The sequence below is a fragment of the Homo sapiens genome, chromosome 14, assembly GCF_000001405.40.
Source record: "Homo sapiens chromosome 14, GRCh38.p14 Primary Assembly".
In the NCBI taxonomy this organism is placed as follows: domain Eukaryota; kingdom Metazoa; phylum Chordata; class Mammalia; order Primates; family Hominidae; genus Homo; species Homo sapiens.
The window spans coordinates 61,551,586-61,574,522 of NC_000014.9; the positions used below are offsets into that span (position 1 = coordinate 61,551,586).

The 22,937-nt window shown below is 46.5% G+C and overlaps 2 long non-coding RNA genes across 3 annotated transcripts in view, besides 10 other annotated features; one reads left to right on the forward strand and one right to left on the reverse strand.

The window, feature by feature from the left end:
- Positions 324-834: an enhancer, noted in NCBI's record as "H3K27ac hESC enhancer chr14:62018627-62019137 (GRCh37/hg19 assembly coordinates)". NCBI's record gives its function as "activates a minimal SCP1, AML or CMV promoter by ChIP-STARR-seq in naive H9 embryonic stem cells {active_cell/tissue: H9 hESC(naive)}" and the evidence as "EXISTENCE:reporter gene assay evidence [ECO:0000049][PMID:30033119]".
- Positions 835-1,344: an enhancer, noted in NCBI's record as "H3K27ac hESC enhancer chr14:62019138-62019647 (GRCh37/hg19 assembly coordinates)". NCBI's record gives its function as "activates a minimal SCP1, AML or CMV promoter by ChIP-STARR-seq in naive H9 embryonic stem cells {active_cell/tissue: H9 hESC(naive)}" and the evidence as "EXISTENCE:reporter gene assay evidence [ECO:0000049][PMID:30033119]".
- Positions 1,239-1,288: an enhancer, noted in NCBI's record as "active region_8497". NCBI's record gives its function as "activates an Ori minimal core promoter by ATAC-STARR-seq in GM12878 lymphoblastoid cells {active_cell/tissue: GM12878}" and the evidence as "EXISTENCE:reporter gene assay evidence [ECO:0000049][PMID:35858748]".
- On the reverse strand, positions 4,687-19,068 carry LINC01303 (long intergenic non-protein coding RNA 1303). Of its 2 annotated transcripts, NR_110416.1 has the most exons (5): positions 18,901-19,068; positions 17,959-18,092; positions 13,735-13,803; positions 9,158-13,656; positions 4,687-4,967 (listed from the first exon to the last, which is right to left on the reverse strand). It is a non-coding gene; the product is annotated as a long intergenic non-protein coding RNA 1303 (long non-coding RNA). The 2 variants fall into 2 exon arrangements; NR_110417.1 differs by lacking the exons at positions 17,959-18,092; positions 18,901-19,068 and adding an exon at positions 18,572-18,609 and having other exon boundaries at positions 13,534-13,656.
- Positions 10,002-11,201: an enhancer, noted in NCBI's record as "BRD4-independent group 4 enhancer chr14:62028305-62029504 (GRCh37/hg19 assembly coordinates)". NCBI's record gives its function as "activates an origin of replication core promoter dependent on BRD2, P300/CBP, MED14 and CDK7 cofactors, and independent of BRD4, by STARR-seq in HCT116 cells {active_cell/tissue: HCT116}" and the evidence as "EXISTENCE:reporter gene assay evidence [ECO:0000049][PMID:35650434]".
- Positions 16,660-17,161: an enhancer, noted in NCBI's record as "H3K4me1 hESC enhancer chr14:62034963-62035464 (GRCh37/hg19 assembly coordinates)". NCBI's record gives its function as "activates a minimal SCP1, AML or CMV promoter by ChIP-STARR-seq in primed H9 embryonic stem cells {active_cell/tissue: H9 hESC(primed)}" and the evidence as "EXISTENCE:reporter gene assay evidence [ECO:0000049][PMID:30033119]".
- Positions 17,003-17,072: a silencer, noted in NCBI's record as "silent region_5821". NCBI's record gives its function as "represses an Ori minimal core promoter by ATAC-STARR-seq in GM12878 lymphoblastoid cells {active_cell/tissue: GM12878}" and the evidence as "EXISTENCE:reporter gene assay evidence [ECO:0000049][PMID:35858748]".
- Positions 17,153-17,312: a silencer, noted in NCBI's record as "silent region_5822". NCBI's record gives its function as "represses an Ori minimal core promoter by ATAC-STARR-seq in GM12878 lymphoblastoid cells {active_cell/tissue: GM12878}" and the evidence as "EXISTENCE:reporter gene assay evidence [ECO:0000049][PMID:35858748]".
- Positions 17,153-17,661: a biological region, named in NCBI's record as "H3K4me1 hESC enhancer GRCh37_chr14:62035465-62035964".
- Positions 17,162-17,661: an enhancer, noted in NCBI's record as "H3K4me1 hESC enhancer chr14:62035465-62035964 (GRCh37/hg19 assembly coordinates)". NCBI's record gives its function as "activates a minimal SCP1, AML or CMV promoter by ChIP-STARR-seq in primed H9 embryonic stem cells {active_cell/tissue: H9 hESC(primed)}" and the evidence as "EXISTENCE:reporter gene assay evidence [ECO:0000049][PMID:30033119]".
- Positions 18,053-18,245: a silencer, noted in NCBI's record as "fragment chr14:62036356-62036548 (GRCh37/hg19 assembly coordinates)". NCBI's record gives its function as "represses an EF-1alpha promoter that drives an FKBP-Casp9 reporter gene in an ReSE screen in phorbol 12-myristate 13-acetate-treated (for megakaryocytic differentiation) K562 erythroleukemia cells {active_cell/tissue: K562(+PMA)}" and the evidence as "EXISTENCE:reporter gene assay evidence [ECO:0000049][PMID:32094911]".
- The window catches only part of LINC03033 (long intergenic non-protein coding RNA 3033), an 84,174-nt gene continuing 80,191 nt past the window's right edge, over positions 18,955-22,937 (forward strand). Inside the window, exon 1 of the long non-coding RNA NR_039985.1 lies at positions 18,955-19,175. This is a non-coding gene — a long non-coding RNA (long intergenic non-protein coding RNA 3033). The remainder of the gene's footprint in view (positions 19,176-22,937) is intronic.

Below are 22,937 nucleotides of genomic sequence, written 5' to 3' on the forward strand. Positions count from 1 at the left end.
ACTTCCCTTTCCATTTGTGTAGCACTTACCACTCATAGTCATCACTCTCACCCACATCATGCCACTAGATCTTCATGACGTGCCCACTATTCCCACTGATGATAGTGTGAGTACTGCAGTACATACTACAAATGGCAAGAGAGGCTCAGAGAAGTTGAGTTCATTGGTTTCCCAAAGGGTTCAGGCTTGGTAAAGAGTAGATCCAGCTCTAGGGTCTAAATCTTTGATGCTGTAGTCTGGGAAAGGGAAGGATCATTCTGACTTTGGGACTTTTTTGGCCTTCATAGCTCCTCCACTTTGGGTCTTCTATTGCTCTGTGGGATTGATTAACTTTTTGTTATGGTTCACTCCACTCTGGTAAACAACCACGAAAAATAAAGCATGCCTCCTGTTTCATTCACAAAACTCATTATCATAGCCACGCAGAGCCAAAACACTGTCTTTGGTAAGTCTGTGATCACTCAGCAGCTTCCTTCTTCACAATTGCTTCTCAAGCCCACTACCTGGGTTCCCCAGTTTGGGTTGAGTCCATTCTTTTGAGGCTATTTATTCCATGCCTATCAGGTTATTCAATAGCTAATGTTTATATCTGAGAAGAGAGAAGATACACAGGATATTTACCTAAAGCTCAAATGAGTCTTCAATTCCTGGTTACAATTCTACTTCACATCTTTCTTCAGTTCTGCTAGACCTGGCATCCCCTTCCAAGGGATCACAAGGCTGTCTTGCCCACACTTCCTGAAGAAGGCTGGCACAGAGCAGGTAGCGAGCCATTCAGGCAACTGGGCCAGAGTCCACTGGGGCTGCTGGGTTCCCTCAGCACAGTGGGCAGCATGGAGGTCAAGACGAGGTCACATTGGGACCTTTCACTCCCTCAGGTCCATCTTAAGACATCGTCAGGCCTTATCATCCCACTGTCCTTCCCAGCCAGTCCTCATCCCACACCCATTTGCTCCTGCTCTCCCAAGCTATTCCACGGTGACCTAACTGAATTAGACACATGGCCTTGAGTGTTTGAAAGGACAATAACTTCAAGCCTTTGCTTTGGGATGTGGGTCAGCCTTTGACTGCCAAAGTTGCTTTCACTTAATGGCTAACATGTTGCATGTTTATTACATGTGAAGCCCTGTTCTAAATACTTTAAGTGTATTTACTTATTCAATACCCCCCATGAGGTGGGTACTCTCAGTTTCATTGTACAGATGGGGGAAAGTGAAGTACAAGAGATTAAGTCACTTGTCTAAATTCACACAACTAAAGCAGTGGGGTTAGGATTTGGATCAAGCAGTTTAACTCCAGAGTCCCTACTTTTAGCTCAGTTCAGTGAGGTTCTTCTATGAAAGCGAATTCTATTTTTCCACCTTTGTGGGGTTGGCAGGAAGCACCAAGATAAACTGCCAGCTGGGCAGGACAGTATTAGCCCTCCCCTGGGTAGAACAATTTATCAGCAGTGGGACTGCATGATTTGCATATCAAGGGGCTGGAGCTGCTAACCCCAGTTCTTGGAACTGGGGCAGGCCAGGGTGATGCAATCAGGACTTCAACCTCCCTGAATAGGGGAAGAGGAAGTAGTCTGGTTCTCTCTGAATCCCGTGAGCCCCATCTGAACCCCTGGGGTAACTTCTGAGCCTTGGTGGAGTTTCCAGCCCTTTCTCCCCTCGTAGAGGAGCCACTTCATGTTTTAGTAACTCTTCATCACCCACCCCGCCAGCTCATGCAGCAGCGTCAGGAAGAAGGTGCGCAGCCTGGAACCTACCTTGGCAGCTGCATGTTTACAGCTATGAAGCTGAGCTGGTGTAACATGTTAGCAAAGAAAAGAGCAAAAATAGACCAGGCACGGTGGCTCACGCCTGTAATCTCAGTACTTTGGGAGGCCGAGGTAGGTGGATAACTTGAGATCAGGAGCTCAAGACCAGCCTGGCCAACATGGTGAAACCCCGTCTCTACTAAAAAATTACAAAAGTTAGCCGGGCGTGGTGGTGGGCGCCTGTAATCCCAGCTACTCAGGAGGCTGAGGCAGGAGAATAGTTTCAACCCTGGAGGTGGAGGCTGCAATGAGCTGAGATCACGCCACTGCACTCCAGCCTGGGCGACAGAGGGAGACCCTGTCTCAAAACAAAACAAAAAAAAGCAAAGCAAAAATAAAAGCATCCCATTTGTCATTTATTGATCTTAATTGAATCCTGACCTCAGATGATCTGCCCGCCTCGGCCTCCCAAAGTGCTGGAATTACAGGCATGAGCCACCACACCCCGGATCTTAATTGGGTACACATTGCCTTGAAAATATTCCAGCCACGGATTTGACCATTTCACATGCCAACATGATAAAGCTGTTCATTATTCCCAGGTTTGGTCATCCTGGTTGCTTAATCTAGCAATGTTGACTTAAAATGACTAGACAGCCCACAGTGATTGCCCCCGGCTCAGGGTCACACTGGGCCCTGTAACTTCTCATTTTACATCATCCAAGGATAAGACTCCAGTACAACTGTAGTAGATGTTTGTGATGAAAATGAGCCCTTTGCTGAGATGTTCCTCTGAATTGAGTTGCAAGTTGGCCAAAGCTGGCCAGAGTGCAGCTGTAAAGGGAGCTTTGTAGTCTCCTTTTGTTCCTTTGTTGAATTGTAACCAAAGCTAAGGGAGCTACCCTGGGCTTTATCCCGTCCCCACCTCTTCACCTCCACTGCCCTGCCAACTGTTCTTTCCCTCCTCCTGCTTCCTGGCTCTTTACTCCCCTACCGAGTACGTCGGTTCTGCACTCTCTCTCCCTGCACCACTTGATTCTTAGAGCCAAACTGTTATATAGCCAGTTTTCCAACCATCAAGATGGCATAAAATTTTGATTTGCATATTTATTTTATAGGCTCTTTTAGAGCCCAGAAATGGCAGTCACCTTTCCCATGTGTTTCTGCGTCTTTGGCATCACCCTGTGTCAGCAGCACTGAGTGCCTAGGTGAGCCACCCTACCCTATGCTGCCCGTGCAGTCTAGGGGGCAAGATGTCACATGGGTAAGAGCCCTGGCTGGTAAGAGTAGTGGGCAGCCCTGGGGGCTGAATCCACACTTACTGAATGTTCTTGAGAAAAGCTAGTTCTTTCTCCAATTTCAACTTTCTCATTTGTGAAATGGGAGTGAGCATAGCGCCTGCCTGCCTTCTGTTAATACTGCAGGGATTAACTGTGATACATTGTCAAGCGTTTGCCACAGGGCTGGGACACAGAAATGCTCAATCGATGTTGGCTATTATTATCGTCAGCTCTCCCACAGAGGGCTAAGGGAAGGTTGCTTGTGATGTCCATCTGAAAATGGACAGAGAGGGACACTCGTGCTCTCCATGATGCCCATCCCTTTGGATGCCGATGCCATGCCACTCCAATTTGGAGGGATTTCACTTTTCTAACTGGCTGCAGAACCTCCTCAGGAGACCTTATTCTTTTCCTAGGATGTTTTGAGTCCATCCTGCCCCAACTGACATACAGGTTCAGCCTTAAGTTTGATATTCTGCTGCTCTCCTTTGAGGCCAAGAAATATCCACAATTTTCCCAAATGGCTTTTCTTACCAGTCTCAGGAATTATTTTGTCCTTCCAGATCTAACACAAAGGTACATTTTATTCACTTCTGACTGAATAACACAGGGACCACACCCAGCATCAGTACCTGCCGGGCACCCCCAGTTACTCACCATGCCTGTGCGCCAGTTCAGAGAAGAAAGGACATGTGTCAAGATGTTCAGTAGGGTCTGGCATGCCTAAGAATTTGAAGCCAATAGTAGAACCAAGAACCAAAGGCATTTTCTTCCTAATTTAAGGTATCTGTGAAGAAGTTTCTAGTAAAACAAGAGTCTCCATAGTCCTGTGTATTCTTAATGGAAAAGGCCTCAGCACTCCTATCCCCTTGCAACAGCCCTTCCAGATCACCCAGGTCTGCCTTTCTTATGCCACGAAGGCAGTTCTTACCCCACAGAGGCATCATTCTTCCAAGGCCTTAGGCCACAGTTAGAAGAATTTAGGCTAGACAAAGTGAAGATTGTGTAGGCACCGAGTGTGGTCAGACATGCAAGTGGATTGCAGAGGGTGAGACAGGAATCTTCTTTGGATACATTTCAAATTAGAAACCAGGATAGTCTAGTAGTCATTTGACCTGAAAGAGCCAGAAATAACTTAGATGACCTCTCGAGTTCTTGTAGCCTTGTACTCATGGCTAAAAGTGAACAGAGGGATATGGTCAGTTGGTCTCCCCTGATAGACGCCAACCCACACTACTCCCACCATATAGAAAACCTCTGTCACTCGAATTTTCTCCCTGTCCATCTCTGTACAACCTGCATGCCCTAGCACACCTATGTGCCTTCTCTGCATGCTCTCTCAATCCCAGGATTCCCTTCAGGCTCACATAGATCACTTGTCCCTCAAGTCACATACTTGACAATATCTTATACCTGATTGCCTTTCATAGTTCTCATGCTCATTCATACGTGGAAAACAGGAAAACTTTACAAAGTTAAAATCAGCACAAGAAGTTCACAAGAAATATAAGCCCCCTTCTGACAATAGAGCATTTGTGGATGAAAGAGAAAGCAGGATTCCTCAACTCTGTTCTTTTTTTTTTTCTCAAGGAGAATGATTTTTGAGATGAAACAAGTACAATACTCACTGATAAAAATGAATCGTAGCCCAAAGTAAATAAAGGGATTATACGAAGCATTCAATGAGAATAGGCAGAATTGCAGAACAATTATTGAAGCAGTAATTTATGAGCACTGGAAGTGGTGTTGATCATTAGGGCTGTGCAGGGGTTTATAAAGAACAGGTCTTCTAAGTCGAATCTCATTTTCTTCTTTGATGGTTCCTGGACTGGTTGATCAAGGATAGGTGAACATTTTTGCATAGCTGAACTTCAGCGACATACATGACAAAGTCTCGCCCCATTTCCTTATGGCCAAGCTGGATTCAAGACACAATGGTACTGAAAATGTGGGGATTAATAGGTTAGTGTCAGTCTGGAATAGTGGTTCTGCCACCTTGCGTAACCCCTGCTCCCCTTGGATTAACAGACAAATTTCAAGTCTTAATCCTATTTGAGATTTCATACCGTCAACATTATGACTAAACACAAAAATTAAACAGTGGGACAAAGGGCTACTTTGTTTTCAAGCTATTCATGCCCTCCCAGAAGACTGTGATATAGAAAAGCACATGAGTTTAGAGAGTCAGACATTCACTAAACTAATATTTATTGAGCATCTATTATATTTCAGGCATATTGTGGTTGCTGGAAAAACTAGAGTGAAAAAGACACCAAAGATCCCTGCCTTCGTGGAATTTACATTCTAATCAAGACATGTTATATTGTTTACCCAAATTAACCCAATGGTAAGGCAGCCCTGTGGTCGGTCTGTCTTCATAACTGTATCCATGGCACCTGGCATATTGTAGGTGCTTAAGACATATATGGTGTTGAATGATAAAATCAGAGCTGGGTGTCAGACACACACTTTTTGACTCCAAAGATAACACTCTTTCATAGCTGTATGCCAGAACAAATGGAAGAAATAAACTGTACTTGGGTCTGAAAAAGCTCATTATATCAGGATGAGATGGAGGCAATAGGTCTTGACAGCATGAGTAAAAATTAGGCAGAGGCAAAGAGAATACATTCAATATATTTATTCATCTGACAAATATTTGGATTTATCAGAACCTTTTCCAAGTGATAGGGCCAGAACAATGAGCAAGGAAGTCATAGTCTCTACCATTCTGGAGCTTAGAATCTAGTGAATATACAACAGGGTGCTGTGGCTGCCAAAAAAATATAAAATGCAATCTTAGCCTCCAGGGTTATGAGTGTGATGCCTCAGATGTGGGGAAGGATGAGCTCCACTGAGCTTTGCCGTGGTTAGGCTGTGCCTAGAAAACTGAACTCAGCTCTAGATACCACCACAGAGAGATACAAACCTGGATCATGTTCAGAGGAGAGTGAACTGAGTGATGAAGGGAGCAGAAACATGGAGCTCAGCAAGTGAGGAGGTAACGGGTGAGCCTCTGGAGCAAAGGCAAGTGGACAGCATAACCACCTTCAAATATGTGAAAAGCTAATGTGATGGTTATTATTTTTGCTTCCCAACTATTTCTAGCTCCCTGCCTCCTGAGCACAGACAGGTGAGGTCGTATGAATAATTCTAGCCAACAAGTCCAGAGCAGAATGGTATATACTACTTGCAAGCCAGAACATTTCAGTGCTGGTGAGACACTCTTTTTCTTCCAGTGAACGGCAATGATGAGAGGTGGTGGCTGGGCTCTGACAGCCTGGGTCCCTGAGTGATTAACATGAATAGGACCCCTAGCTTACCCTCAATGGACATTTTGAATGAGCAAGAAATACTAGTTGCTGTTATGGTTTTTATTACTGCTGTTTCATGGCGCTGAGATTACGATCGGTGTTTGTCCCTGCAGCATAACCTAGCCTATCCTGACTGATAGGCGTGCCATGTGTGGAGGGACCAGTCTGACAACATATGGCTCCCAGGGTTAGAACTAGGAGCACCTCAGGCTGTAGCAGGAGTCATAGAATGTGTTATGGCATAGCATAAAAATGAACTTTTCCACCAAGGTCCCTAAATATGTAATAGACTTCCTTTGGAGGGAAGATCACTGGACATCTTCAGTCTACAACCCTCGTTGGGGATGATGGACCTGGACCGGAGGGCTCTCCCAACCCTGAGAGGCTGGCGTACCACAGTGTGGAATGGGCTTAGCAAGCACACTATTATTGTGGCGTTTGCCCTAGGGGGCCCACTGGGGCAGGCCTGAGTTGGCTTACCATCATGTTTCCACTGGCCACATGCCAGGCCCCTGCTGCTTTCACTGTACCACACAGTCATGAATCTGTGCATAGCATTTCTGGGGGCTCAGCAGGGTGTACAAAAGGCATAGCAGCTCAGATGGCAATGAGATCAAACGAACGGCAAGGGCTCTCTCGGCCCACTCTTATGCAGAATGATAAGTAGTCCTTTGGGGCTCATGCTTGCATCATTAGCAACCTGGAGGCATTAGGAAACCTCTGAAGTTCACCCCTACTGATTTGTCCCTCATTATCCTTATTCTGCCCTCTAGGAACTAGAGCTGAGCACCTTTCCTAACAGTGCTGAATGCCAGTGTAAAGATCTGCTCTGGGGAGGTGTGTGTTCAGAGAAAGCCCCGGTAGGGGGATGAAGGAAAACATGTTTTTAGCATCAAAGACCGGGTTTGAGCACGTGCCCCCTTTTCCAATGGTTGGCTGGAGTTGGATCACACTGGCTCATGAGAGCTGATTGTGCACATCTCTTTCAAGTTAGTGCTCGGAGAGCTCACAGTGGTAGCTTAAAATTGGTTATTGTGGGAATATTTACACCATGGACATTGGTAAGTGTTAAAAGTCAGGCCTTTTTTTTTTTTTTTTTTTTTTGAGACTGGATCTCACTCTGTTGCCCAGGCTGGAGTGCAGTGGTGTGAGCCTAGCTCAATGTAGCCTCAAAGGCCTGGATTTCCTGGACTCAAGTGATCCTCCCACCTCAGCCTCCTGAGTAGCTGGAACTACAGGCTCCTGCACCATGCCCAGCTAATTTTTTTTTTTTTTTTTTTTTTTTTTTTTTGCTTTTGTAGAGATAAGCTATTGCTGTCAACTCAGGCTGGTCTTGAACTCTCTTAGCCTCAAGCGATCCTTCTTACCTGGGCCTCCCAAAGTGCTGGGATTACAGGCATGAGCCACTGCATCCGGCCAGGACTTTTATTAGTTTTATTATTTAGACAGCTTTCCAGCACAACCTTGCAAATAGGGAAATAGTGAGAAAATCATGGTCTTTGGAACCAGGCAGGACCAGGGTCACCCTGACTCTGCTCAGCTGTTGTCATTGAAGGGGGTGTGGAGATACTGAAACTTCCGTGAACCTTAGTTTCCTTGTCTGTAAAATTAAGAAACCTTAGTTTCCTTGTCTGTAAATTAATAACTAAAACCAAAATATTAACTACCTCAAAGGGTAGTGTGAGGATCAAATGCGATAATGTCCACAGATTGCTAACTAAATTAAGCTCCTTCCTTTGGGGCACATAGAGAACAACTTCCAGGGAGAAAAACAAAACACCCCTGAATTGCAGCTTTTTTGCTTTTAGCTGTGGAAAACATTCCCAGAAGCTTCGCAGCCTCGCATCCTCGTACCCCATTGGCCAGTTTAGCGTCACATGACCATCCCTAACACCAATCACTTGGCAAGGGAAAAATGACAGCCAAGCCACAGCTCCTGAGGGAGCCCTGGAGCCCCTGTTGGCGTTAGTGGGATTTTTAACGCCCCCTAGATGGTTCCAATGCGCAGTCAGAATACCGAACCAATGGCTGAGAGTCTAAGTCTCGGACAAAACCTTAGCCCCCGGGGGCTGGAGAGAGGTTCATTCTCTCCTGAAGGACAAGGATAGAGAACCAAGTCAGGGTTCCGGGAGTGTGGGATCGGGGAGGAGGAAGGATCGCTGTTTATCAGGTAATCAAAAGTGCAGACTCACTCTCCATTCCCAGCTACTGGACAATCGTGGGGCAAAGAGCTCAGTGGGAAAAATCAAAGGCATTAAAAATGGTTATTCTTAGAGATAAGGTGTATAACTATTGGAAAACAGAAATAAAGTCTTGAATTAAGCTTTGAGAAATGGTTCTATAATAGTAGGTGGGAGGGAGAGAGTTAAAAAAGCATTTGCAACTTATCTGAGAGGGTAAGACATGGCCAGTGATACTTAACTGAAGAGGACTGTTTGCCCTGTCAGTTCTGAAGCTCCTGTTACAGCACTGAGTTAAGCCCTGTGAACACAACATGTGTTTATTTATTGTAGACAAACCCTGCCACAAAGCCACAGGCACAGCACACTTCTCTGTTAGGTCTGTATCTCTTAGAATATTAGGACCCTAACTGGGATTCTAGCAACTTACTTCCTGAGGCTCAGAGCTGCCTCCTGGATTCAGAGAGCCTGTCAACAGCGTCTGCTGAGTATATAACGTGGACTGTGAGAAATATGGACTTGGAATCAGGAGACATGGATTTGAAACTTGACGCATTCATCCTGGGCCGGCTGTTAAACGCTCCCAATCCTTGTTCTCTTCCTCTATTAAATGACAATACTAATAACGATACCCACCTCATAAGATTGTGATGAAGATAAAAAAGGATAAGTTGGCTGGGTGCATTGGCTCACACTCCTAATCTCAGCACTTTGGGAGGCCCAGGGAGAAAATCACGTTAGGCCAAGAATTTGACATCAGTCTAGTCAACAGAGCGAAACCTCATCTCTTCAGAAAACAGAAAAATTGGTCAGTTATGGTAGTGTGTGCCTGTAGTACTAGCTGCTCAGGAGGCTGAGGTGGGAGAATCACTTAAGCCCAGGATTTTGAGGCTGCAGTGAGCTATGATAGCACCACAGCACTCCAGCCTGGGTGACAGGGCAAGGCTGTTTCTTTAAAAAAAAAAAAAGAGAGAGAGACAGAGAATAACTTGTGAACTCTTAATTCTTAATACAAATTACATTTGGTTGAGAGATCAGTATATCCGTATTTCCCCATCTAAAGTTCCCATAGCCATCAGTCAAGGGAGGGAGGAGAAGAAGCACTTTCCAGTTCATCCTGGAGGGGGTGGAGTTCAGACACTGCTTCTAAGAGCAGTCCCCCATCTCTTCACTCACCCTGCTTTATTCCCCAGCCACCCTCACCCTCATTTGATTCCATTTGCCCGGAAGGGATGAGGAAAGTGGAACCAAGGATTTTTATTGTTTGTGTTTCCCACCACTGTCTGTCTCAGAGGCAGAACCTGAGAAGTCTGGAATTTCTCCCTGGTCCTCTCTGCACAGCCCCCAGTGCCACCCGTAAAGATGTCCATTCCAAGTGAAAGCCACTGCACTTCAAAAGCAGCAGAGGTGGGTTCTCCTTCATGTTCCCTGTATGTGAGGGAGAGAACCAAACACCAGGGTCAAACAGAGGCACTTCCAAACCTGTGCCTTATTTCTGGGGAAAAAAAAAAAAAAAGTGAGACTGATTCAGTCTGGGACATGGTAGCTTTCTGTCTCAGAAAGCTGGGCAGGACCAGAGAAAGTGGCTTTGTGAAACGCAGGGACAAAGCTAGCTCAGGGCTCTGCTCTTTCTCAGCAGACCATTAGGGGAATCAGGGCAGGCCTTCCCCTCCCAGCTGACTTGGAGCCACACAGTGGCTTCCATGTGACTCCATGGCCAGTGCGACAAATGCATGGCCTTGGCTGAGGAAGCACAGGGGCTGTGGGGATGACTGGATCCCAGGTCCCAGGAGAGATAGCGAGACATGTTGGAAACACTGTGTCTGGAATCTTGTGCTTGACTGCTCAGGAATGCGTGGTCTGGGTAACTTTCTGGTTTGACTTACAGGAAGGTCTGATGGGGGCAGAGCGGGAATGTTGTAACAGCCCTAGATCACCTTGGAAAAATACTGTTTGCCTGCCAGCCCGGAACTGCCATTCCAGGAAGCAGCTGCTGGTGAATCAGCAGCCTCCTCTTTCCTTGTGGCTCCAGGAAGCACATGAAGGGCCTCCCCCACCTCCTCTCCAGGGAGGGAAATGCCCACTAGCCATATACAGGCTCTTCTGGAAGGGACAGAGGTGGGGACTCCATGGCAGACTCTCCATTCCGCCCCACCCCCCACCCCGCAACACACAAAGGGAGTTGGAAAAGGGATGAGAGACCCCTAAGCCTCAGACTCAGGCTTTTGATGTAGAAAATCATACATGGTTTCTAAGTCTCTTGTCTGGAGTTCACAACAATAAAGCTAGGTAGAAATCTCTACACACTGCTTGGCATGGGTTACATTTGCCTCAACATAATGTCTGTCTCTTACCTGCAGATCCAGCCTGGGGCTGAGAAACTCACAGGAGGTTGTCGGTTGGCTCTGGTCAAGCGGCTGTTTGGGCATGAGTGCCATTTGTACTCAAGGTCAAGGGGCAGCCTTAGTAGGTCAGCTGGAAGAGTCTTGGGAAAAGGTAGGGGGACCGTAATGCCAGCTGTCCATTCCCTCCACGGGCCCTGTGGTGCCTCCACCTGGGTGGAGAGTCCCTGCTTTCTGCCTTTCCATTGGCCAATCTCTGGCCTCCTCCTGAGGTTGCTGCTGTCCCTGGAACAGCTTTGGGCTAGTGGACACAGCAGTTATGCCTCAATTTCCCTATAGCTACATGGAGCCAATTAAACAGTGGACGGATTTGGAGAGGTGGATCATTTCAGATTCGCTCCTGGATTTTCACCCCCACTTAAGAGAGAGCTAAGTCTCCTTCTTTCTTCTCTCTCTCTTTTGCTCTTTTTCTCCTTGTGTGTGTCTGACTCACCTCTGTGCGGTTACATTTAAACACCAGTTTAGATCTCAATGACCCACATTCAGCCTTAGTGACTATGAAAGCAAGGCCATGCTCACTGATGACTCAGGAGAACTGGGGCCTTGAAAGATGAGCTGAGTCAATGAATGTGAGCTGTGGAGTTTTTACCACTCCCCCTCTCCCAATCCTTTTGTAATGTACCCACTCCCTTAGCTTTCTGAGTGTCAGTGTCCTTGGCCTTCCAGGGCTTGTGTGAGTACATGGAGGAATCAAGGGAGAGGTGGGTGAGATGGCCACAACCACCCTCCGCGACTCTTCATCCTTGAGCCTTTAGGACAGGTGCCCCCAGGCTCCATGGGAGGCAGGCAGCTGTGCCGGCTGCAGCGATGTGAACGGGGAAGCCGAGAGGAGGGTGTTGGGACAGGAGCCAGCTCTAAGTAACCTCCTACAGGTGATGGTTTTGGCTTCACCTGTTGGCCAGAGCCCTCCAGCAGAGAGGGGGAATTTATATGCTACTGTGAAACTTCTAGATACACCCGAAGTCAGGGTAGATGAAGGTAGAGGGAAGAGAAGGACCTCCCAAGGACCAGCCCCTGGAGTTCATTTCCTGCCCTTAGAAACAATGTCACCCTCATTTCTCTCCTTTCTCTACCTGCCTTTGCTCGGTTTCCATTCACTGCCTCTGTTACTTTTGGTTGTTTATGGTTAAGTCCAGTGGTTCTTATCAGCCATACTTGGAAACTTGTTAGAAGTACAAATTCTCAGACCCCATCCCAGGCCTACTGAATCAGCAACCTGGGGTGGGGCCAGCAGATCTGTGTTTTAACTAGCCCACCAGCTGATTCTAACATCTGCTCAAGTCTGAGAACCCCTGGTCTCACCTCTCTCTCCAGTTAGGCTACAGCCTCCTAGAAAGTACTGACTTGAGAGGGCTTAGTGTAGTCCTGGGCACCCAAGGACTCAGCTCTGCACAGAAACTGTACCGGGAAAGTAGAAAGAAGATTCAAGGAGGCAGTCTGGTCATGATCAGAGTTTGAACCCAAAGGTTAGGCCCTGGGTTCCAGTTGGGTGACCTTGGCCAAGTCACTTACTTTTCAGACTCTCTGGTTCCTCCTCAGTAAAGTAGATGGAAGAACTGGGTCTCTGGGGTTTGGGTAGTTCTCATGTCTAGAAATCTGGATCTGGCCAGGGCCTGGCTCATGATTCCCCTCCTGCATGTGCTGACTCTGCCCAGCCCCAGTGGAAGAGTCAGCATGCAGGGGAGGAATAACGAGGCAGGCCCTGTGCTTCTCCTGGTCCTCAGGCAGTTATTGTTTGTGAATGTGTGATATGGAGAGGTAGAGAGAGATCTGAATCTAGAAATGAATTAGAAACATATTAGGAGAAGCCAGAGCCTTCAACAGAAATGAAGCCCGTCCTTTGAGTGCCTGTCCCTGGCAAGTTGAAGGTGGAGTCCCTCTGTCAGGAGCTCAGTTGAACTGGGAGAGGGAGCGCTGAGCTGCCAGGTGTCACAATAGTCAATTAAGGCAACAAGCCCAAAACAAAAGAGTCAAGCTTTCAGTCATGTCCTGCAATGGTATAAGCAAGTATCTGAAACCAGAGAAAGCGTGGACTCTCCCTGTTCCATTTCCCCCATGGAACACACAGGGGCCCAGGGTCAAGTAGATCAGCAGGAATGTCGGGTTGGGGTGGTCTCACTGCTGACAGAGCCCTGAACAAAAGGCTCTGGAAGTTTTATGGACTCTGGGGCCGAGAGCAAGGGAGGGGGAAGGCTAGGAGTGGAAGTACTAGATTCTGAGTCATTGTGGGGAAAAGCGGCTTCAAGATTTCTCTCCCTTCCCTGCCCCACCCAAAGAAGGCCTCAGCAGAGGCGCCTAAAGAACACCTCTCCCCAAGGCTTCTGATAAACCCAGGAATGAAGGCTCAGGGGCTAGGAATGCAAATATGTGATGACTACGACCAGCCAGAGAGACCTGAGACCTTGAGAGCTCCCTCCAGAGACTGCCACGCATGGGCTGTGCCCCAAGTCTGGGGTAGGGGTCAGCTTTCCCCAAGTTTGTGGTCAGGCCTGAAAAATCACACACAAGTTTTTCACCAGGAGGCCCAGGGAGATACTATGTGGCCTCTTCTCCCACCTACCTCTTCTGAGCCACGCTTTCCAGCTGTCAGGCAAGTATCAGGGCACCTACCTCTGCACAGAAGGGCAGTGACTTTCTCCAGGTGGAAATCGCTTTTCATCCAAATGTCTAGGCTCAAATCTCTTGGTTCCTGCATTTTAAGTTATGGGTATCTCTGGGAAATAATTGAGAGGACTAAGTACAAACACCCATCAAGCCTTCACATTATTGGCATGTATAAGATTCTGTTAGGTCAAGTGGCATCCTCCTTACCCTTTTTCTGAGGATGACCATGTGTTAATTGCTACAGACCAGAACTGTCTTCCTGAAAGTTGTCCAGGGCTGTGGGAAAAAAGTTGAATATTTCAGTGCAAGTTCTATTGACACTAAAGCTAACACTGAATCACTCACTTATCCCAGCCTATGCTATTTTTTTTTTTTTTTTTTTGACAGGGTCTTACCCTGTCACCCAGGGTGGTTGGAGTGGCATGATCTTGGCTCACTGCAACCTCTGCCTCCTGGGTTCAAGAGATTCTCCCACCTTAGCCTCCTGAGTAGCTGGGACTACAGGCACATGCCACCACATCTGGCTAATTTTTGTATTTTGGTAGAGACAGGGTTTTGCCATGTTGGCCAGGCTGGTCTTGAACTCCTAACCTCAAGTGATCCACCACCTCAACCTCCCAAAGTGCTGGATTACAGGCAGGAGCCACTGCGCCTGGCCTAGCCTATACTGTTTTCTTTATATTATATACTTATATGTCCTGTCTTTTCTATCAGATTGTAAGCTTCCTGAGGACAAAGATGATGCCTTACATGTCTATATGGCACCCAGAGTATTTTGCTCTCAAATACATACTGCTCAGATAAGCTTTCAGGATATAGAACTTCAGATACCCACAAAACCATCTCTTCTAGTGTTGTCTGGAAATAAGTCTTGTGTTTATTCACTTTTACGTATAACTGTATCTCATCTTTCCAGGAAGATTGGAAACATATTCATGTTTAAGGCATCACAGTAGCTGACTCATCATTAGCTGTCAACAAATAAATACTTCACAATTAGATTTCTGGGAACAGTCTTCACCAAGAGACAGAAAGTTAACTGGAACTAAAATTTTAATCCCCTCAAACTCCAAGGAGACCTGTTTTCCAGGCATGATCCAACAGAACCGCTGCTTTTTAGAGTACCTTGGAGAGGCTATTTCTGAGGACAGCAAGCTAACAGGATCACCCCCCACCACCCTTTGCTTCAATTTGCCCTAGTACTCAGACTTAATTGGTGGGGACATGGGCATGTGTATAAAGCACGTGGAGATTATTTGTTATAATTCATCAGGGCTACCATTTGAAATTGGCCAGCACAATCATCCCTACTTGACCATAGTAATCAAGATGTGGCTGAGAAAGAAGGAGTGTTTGTTTCAACAAGCCAGAGAGCTGGTCTTCTGCTTTCTAAATGGACAATTTATAAAATTTAGATAGAGAGGCATCTTCCACTCTAGGCATGTACAACCCACCCCGCCATCCCAGTACATTCTTCTCTTTCCTTACATTTACCCATCCCTCCTGCCCCTCCTGCTTTCTTGAAGGTGAGTGAGCAGGTCCCAGGCTTACAGCTCAGTTGGACTGCGGTTGCCCTGTCTTCTCTGGTGATTTCTCTGTCTTATGGTCAGGAGCCAGACTCTGAGTCTGTTCAACTATGTAGAGGAAAGGTCACTAGAGAAATTCCACTTCAGCATTCCTCTAGGGATCAGAGATTCTGACTGCTCAACAAAATTACCTGGAGGAGAATTTTAATAATATGGCTTCCTGGAACTTACCCTGAAACATTCTGATTCAGTCAGTCTGGGGTGAAGATCAATTGGCTATATTTTTCTAAATCTTTATAGATGATTCTGATGCACTGGCAAGTTTGGACATTGGATAAATTCTAAGCTCTTTGAGATCAGGAAACAGATGAATCTCCCATTCTGTATCCCACAATGACTAACTCAGCACCTGGCACACAGCAACACTTTAGAAATTGTTATTGAGTCAATGAACAAATGGATGGTTGAAAATAGGGTGATGGATTGGGAGTACAGTCAACCTAGCATCTTTTAAAATAATTTTTAAATTGACAAATAATAATTGTACACACTCATGGGGGTACACAGTGATGTTTTGATATGTATTGTGTACAATAAATCAGGGTAATTGGCATATCCATTATCTCAAACATTTATCATTTCTTTGTGTTGGAAAATTCAATATCCTTGTTCTAGCTATTTGAAATTATATATTGTTAACTATAATCATCCCACAGTGGTATAGAACAGTACAGCTTATTCTTCCTATCTAGCTATAATTGTGTTTACTTTAACAAATCTCTCCCTATTCATCCCTCCCAGCCTCCAGTGTCCTCTGTTCTACTGTTTACTTCTATGAGATCAACTGTTTTTTTTAGCTTTCACATAGAAGAACATACAGTGTTTAACTTTGCCTTCCTGGTTATTTCCTTCAACATAATGTCTCTCCATTCTACCCACGTTGCTGCACATGATAAGATTTTAGTCTTTTTTATGGCTGAGTTGTATTCCATCGTTAAATACACACACACACACACACACACACACACACACACACACACCATATTTTCTTTATCCATTCTTTTTTTTTTCTGGACACCTGGTCAACCTAGCATTTTACCTAAAGGCTAGGCAAGGGCCAATGGAGGCAGAAGGCCAAACCAGTCACAGTGGGGCCAGGGATAGGAATAAGGCAGCAGCGTGGGGGTGGAAATAGAAGAAAACTTAGGTAATTTGATCCCCAAGTGGGAGAACATGACCCCTGTCCTTGAAAATGCTGCTACTTTCAGCGGTGCTGCCGCTTGCTGCCCCTGTGCTGGGACTGACAGGCCTTGCGCTCTCCAGTCCCACTAAGAAAGCAAATTGGATTGGTCACTTCCCTGTTTAAACCTTCCAAGGCCCTGCATTGTTCTCAGGATGAAGTCAATTCTCCTTTCTCTGGCTGAGTCCTGGCTCCTCCTCAGCCCATCACTGCTACTTGCCCTCATCTCTCTGTGCCCACCGGCCACCCTGCCTTCCTGCAGATCCTACCGCCTGCGGTGTTCTTTCACCAGCCTGTCCTCTCTGCCTGCAATGCTCATTCCCTGCCCCCATGTTCCCTAGCAAACTCTCCTGCGACCGTTAAATTACAGCCTAAAAACATCCGCTTCTCTTTTCCCCTGGGGGCTGCCAGTTCCCTGGGGTAGAGTTCAGTCTGTTGTGTCCAAAGCCTAGCCAGTAGATGCTCCCATGTTTGTTGAATGAACAGAAGTTGGGACGGGAAACCAACAGACGCTCAGGACTGGGGTTTGTTTTTGTTCCTGTAAAACTGGATTGGTTCTGCAGAGGCACAAACAAGCCCGTTGATTTAGATCTATCGAGGAATTGGGGTAGGGGCAGGGGTGGCAGTTTTGCTAAGAAGAAAAGCAGGTGAAAGTGGGAGATTCCAAAAGAGACCAGAGAGAAGGCAGTGTGTCCTGCCCAATCTGCCGCTAGGGTCAGAGACCAGCTCCCTAGTCACACTCGGCCAAGGCAGGCTGCCGGGCTGACTCCAACTCTAAACAAAGCCAGGCAGCCGCCCAGGTGGGTGAAGGCTGCAGATTGCGCTCAGGCGTGACGCCGGGGTGCAGGTGGGAGCGACGCCCGGGTGCGTGGGTGCAGCGCTCGCCCGCCCGCGGTTAGGCGCACCGCGGGAACCGGTCAGGTGCGCCGTGTGGGGCGGGGCGGAGGCAGGGCGTGCGCCCCCAGGCTGGTGCCTGGGGCAGAGGATTCGCCTGCTTGACGCGCTGATGCCTTGATTTGGTCTGACAAGTGGAGGCTGCTTTGAGAAGCGGCCTGTATTTTTGACATTCAGGAAGCTAGAAATAACCAGCTGGGCTCCTGGCGCTCTGGCCGCAAATGTCTTGCGCTTTCCAGGCAACTGCCAGATTGAAGGGGCTTTTCCCCAATGTAGACCTGTGCTCTGTGTGCTAGGAGGCCGAGGTTCCAGTCCAGGCTCGGCTTCTGACTCCCTACTTTAGGAGGAATCACTGAATTGACTGCAGCTCGGCTTCTGCTCTGTAAAATGGGGCTGTTGCTAGCTGAGCCTCTTCTGCCTCTGGTAGAAAATGATTCCAAGTGGCTGCCCTGTCCACCCTAATCCCATGGCCCGAACTTGATGTCTGCTGCTTCTAGAAGCCTAGTGCTCCAAATATCTGCTCTGGGAGGGACTTGCAGATGATCCTGATTGGAAATGAGGCTGATTAACCTTTTGTGTATCATTGACTCTAGGACAATCTGTTGAAACCTAGGGGCTCTTACCCTAGACAAATTAACACACCAGCCAGATACAGCTTACAAGGGCAGAGAGTTGCTGGTTTGAACCACAGACCCCTGGTTTAACATCTGTAATCTAGTCAACCCCTCCTCTTTCTTGAAGGCTGAACCAAACACGAAGGGTTTTCCCCACCTTCCAATCCTCATACATGCAGACACCCCCTTTTCCTGCTTTCTCCTTCAGTCATCTTCCTCACCATCCCCCATGCTTGGGCACTCTCAGGAGGGAAATTGTCCTATAAATATCTGTAAAAGGCATGGTATGTCCTGTAGCAGAGAAAGCAAAAAATAAAAATATAATTCCTCCACCCCTGGCATGGCACGTGCAGAGCTCTGCCTGATCCTTCTCTCCCACAAGCCTCGGGGGTGGGTAAACAAAAGTGAGAGGTGAAGCTGCTGCAGCGAAGTACCCCTTCAAAATCTTCAGTACCCTTCAGAGCCAGCGCTGTCATCACTATCACATAAACTGTACAACTCCAACGTCAACCAGCAGCCGCCTGGCTGGCAGCAGGAAGAGCCAATGCAATTTTGCACAGTGGCTTGCTTGCCCAAGGTATTGCCTGGCAAATGGGCTTCTTGTGCAATGGGGAACCACAGGGAGGGGCCTCTTAAATGTACCTCAAAGAAACAGCTCTAACAATGGATGATTCAACAGGCTAGTAATTGGCGCTCACTCTTACCACATTGTTTTGATAAAACGACATAGCCCAACTGGGGATATGAAGGCAGTAAGTAGAAAAGCTAACCTCTTGCTACTCAAATTGTGGCTGAGAACCAGCGACATCCCATCACCAGAAGCTTTATAGAAAAGCCAGGCTCTGTCCCAGACCTATTGAAAGGAGATCTGCATTTTAACATGATTGCGAGAGGATCCACATCTTAAAGTTTCAGAGGCCTAATCCAAAGTCTTCTGATAATGATCATTAGAGTCCCAGCCACCCCCGACTTCCCCCTGGGAAAACCACAACAAATAGAACAAATTCCTCCAAGCTCTGCTCATAAGAAGAACCCACAACCCACAGACACCCCCTCACTCAACTAGAGACCTCACCCACCTGTTTGCAGAGTCACCCACCTTGGGCTACTTCTTTTCTACTATTTAATCTTCTGGGAAAACAGAGGTCTTCTATTTGGAGATAAAAATGACAAAGGAGAACCTCCTGAACAGCATCCAGTTTGCTTTTAGCTTTAGCCATCTCTCTGACCTCAGTGCTGCTGGACTCAGTTCCAAGATCTAACTGTCAAATGCTTTAGGGGAAACGGGAAGAGAAGTCCCTGGAGTAACCCATGTGCGCAGCCTGGCACTGTTTTCACTTGCCTTTGGAAATGAAGGTGCAGAAACCATGGGAGGTAAGGAGGGCACAGACTAGTGACTTCCAGTGTGGGACAGAGGGGAAAAGATGGAAGAGAAGTGCAGAAAACCACTCGGGAAAAGACAGGCTGGAGTGATGCCTGCTGAGACAGGGCCCTGATCTCCCAGGACTTCCCTTTCTGCCTGTTCTGTAGAAATGTCTCGGGTTTTGTGGTTTAGGAAAAGAGATGCTTAGCAAGCTTGTAGAAAATGTAATGTGGGCACTTTGTTGCTGTCCTGGCTTTTAAAGGACTCTGAAGCAGATCAGCTTCAAGGTATTGGCTATTCTGTTTGCAGCCTTAGAAAGACATCCTTGATGTTTTATTGTTCTGCCTTTGCTAAGAGCTGGAAACTCTCCCTGGGGAAATGGCTCACCTTGAAAGAGATGCTATCGTAGCTGAAAATGTTTTAGCTTCACTTCCAATCTCTGGTTCCTTGTGGGAAGTAACTGCTGCTGTGGTATATATGCCCTGTGCCTTTTATTTTTACCATCTTTACCTCGGTGGACACAGCTGGTTGAAACTCAGTAAAACTTATGCTTCCATGGAGATTGATTCAGACAACAGGAAAAATAAGTGTAGAAAAAAACTGCACAGTACAAGGGCTAGATTCAGGTTGTAGAACAAAGTGATTATTACTTAGAATCCTGGATTAGCAAGAGAATAAGAAAGATGCTGAGATTACCTAGTGTTATCACCATCCACGTGAAACGTAGAATAAAACTTTTTCCCCACCACATAGATATTGGGCAGTTTATTATAGATGCTACAAAGGGATTTATTATATTTTTCCCAAAATGGTTAATTAGAGGCATCCCAAATTACAACTCCTTTAGCATAACTCCCAGCTCCATGCAGCCTACTTACTAAGGACCCAGCTACTGACAGCTCAGCTCTTTGCCAATCCAACTTTTTTTCCCCATATGCTCAAACTTTTCTTCTCCAAGAAGACTTCCTGAATGATCCCAATTCATAGGGATCTCATCCTTAATGCAGGGGAAATTCACTGTTCTGGAGTAGTCTACCATACCATCACGCTCTTCTTTTTGTGTAATCCTGGATTTCTTCTCCAGTTGTTTTATTCTTGCCTGTCTACACAGATAGATCAGTAGCCTTCAATAGTCTGCATCTCCTGTTATCTTGCAGCCTCCTACTATAAACAGTAGGTGCTTTACTTATGCCAGTTGGGTTGACCTAGACAGTAGTCTCTAAGTAGCAGTCCTTGGCTCATCCTTCTGAAACCAACGAGCTCTTAGGCAGGCTGAGAAAGGGTTAGGACTGTTCACTCTGGGACATCCTTGGCTCTGTATGAGTGTTGTTTTTAAAAGCAGGGATTTTGTCTCCAGTGCATTGAAGAGATAAAACCCCATTGTCAGCATATTTCTTCAGGATCTTTCTGTGTTAGATCTCACTGCCAAGCCAGAGTCCCCACACACAGACTCTCACTTTTCCCCCATCAATAGGCTGAAGTGAGGCAAGTAGTAGAATGTGCTCAAATCATGGCCTATTCTTAATAAAAGAAACAAGGACAGCTTGGGGCTGGCTCGTCTCTTCTCAAATTCTCCTAGTGTTCTGAACCAAATGTATGAAACGAATAGATTTGTTTTATTCGCAGGTATTAATGCTTCTCCGAAAGCAGTTGTTTGGGTGGCTGGAATATCAGTAGTCATTGACCAATAAGGCTTGCAGGTGTGAATCAGAGCAGTATTCTGGACTTCCAGAGTAGAGCTGCCATCTACTACTCTACATCACCTTCATCCTTACAGAATCACTGAGACCATTCATTCATTCACAAGCAGTTGTGTCTGCTACATGCCAGGCACTTGTAGTAGGCATTAGAGATACAATGGCAAGTGAAACAGACACTGCATGTAATCTACTGAGAGAGACTGGGAATTAATTCAATAAGTAAAAGTAAGTATATAATTATCAATTGTGATAAAGGCCCTGAAGCAAAAGAATAGGATGTTCTACAAGAATATTACAAGAGCTTTATCTGATCTAACGTGTATGGGGAGGGGAAGCCTCAGGGAACGCTTCTTAGGGGAAGTGACATTTGAGCTGAGCGTTGAAAGAAGAATAAAAATTAAAAAGTACAGAGGGGGCCAGGTGCAGTGGCTCACACCTGTAATCTTAGCACTTTGGGAGGCCGAGGCAGATGGATCACTTGAGGTCAAGAGTTCGAAACCATCCTGGCCAACATGGTGAAACATCATGTCTACTAAAAATACAGAAAAATTAGCTGGGTGTGGTGGCAGGGTGCCTGTAATCCCAGCTACTTGGGAGGCTGAGGCAGGAGAACTGCTTGAACCCAGGAGGCGGAGGTTTCGGTGAGCCAAGATCGCACCACTGCACTCCAGCCTAGGCGACAGAGTGAGACTCTGTCTCAAAAAAAAAAAAAAAAAAAAGTGAAGAGGGGTTAGAGAGTGCCCAGGATACAAAGAGTTAGTTCATTGGAGGAACTGGAGTAAAGTCCTTGTGGCTGGATTAAAGGGGACGAGGAAAACCAAGATATAAAGAGGTAGGCAGGGGCTGGATCACATGTGCACACAGTTTTGAAGACTTTGGCTTTTATTTTGGAACAGTGGAAGGCTGTTTTAAGCAGAGGATGAGAACATTAAATTTATGTGTCCAGAAGATTGCTCTGATGAGACAAGCGGTGAACAAAAACATCATTACTCAGGTCTCATCCAACTCTTCCATTGTATATTCTAATAAACCACCCAAGTTCTGCTTTCAGAGCTCTGAGCCAAAGTGAGTTATACCTCCCCAGGCCCACTGAAAATCCCAGAGAGCTTACTGAATGGCGTGGGGGCCCTGGTAAAACTCACCGTTCAGGCATTTGAATCTGGGCCACTCTATTACTATCAGCATTTTGCCTCCACTCCCAAGGAAGAAATCCTTAAAATTATAACCTTTGGGTCCCCATGCCCAGGCAGGCTGACTTCTCTTGGATCACAATAATCATGGTTTTGACTATGAATTGCCGATCCCAAGTTAAATGATTAACCCAAGGTCAATGAGCTAGTCAGCTGCCAAACCAAGGACAGATTTTCAGTTCCCTGAACTCAAGGCAGATGCACTTCTCAGGAATGCTGTCAGAGGCTTAGAAAAAGAAAGTGTTCCATGTTCCCAAAATATGTAAACTTATTCTTTGATATTCATGTTTATTCTATGACTCAGAAGTTCCCACGATCATTTTCTGGGGTGATCAGAAACTCTCTTTGAGGGGGAAATGATTCCTTACTTGAAAAGCGTTTTTAGCCAAGTTGCTTCTTTCGTAGCGGTGAGCATCCTTTGAGGATGATGCTGGCTTTCTTGTGGGCTGCTCCACCTTGCTATTTCCTGAAGCTACTGGAGCAGTTGAAACAGGCATATGAATAACCCCTGGGTTGCCAAAAAGACACCTCAATCCTTAACAGGTTTTGATCTGAAAAGGAGAGGTTTGTTCACTTGATTTGCTTTACGAATTTTGCAACATTGGCAGGTTGTGCCTGGGCCTTTCCCAGCCCTCTCTGCAGAAATGAGAACCAGGATTACTCATCCTTCTGTATTTTAAAGGAATTCCAGGAGTGCTCAGACAAGCTGCTGAAAAAAAACTGGTGTTATTTGACAGCTTCTGAGCATGGATGTTTCAGGCCCCGCTAATGCCATGAAAATAGAAATGGCCCTTGTGCCAGAGGTAGCATTCTACTTCCATCAGGTGAGGTGGCAAGGCACACAGGGTTTTTGGGGTGGCTCCCCAGAAGAGAGGCAGCTGGA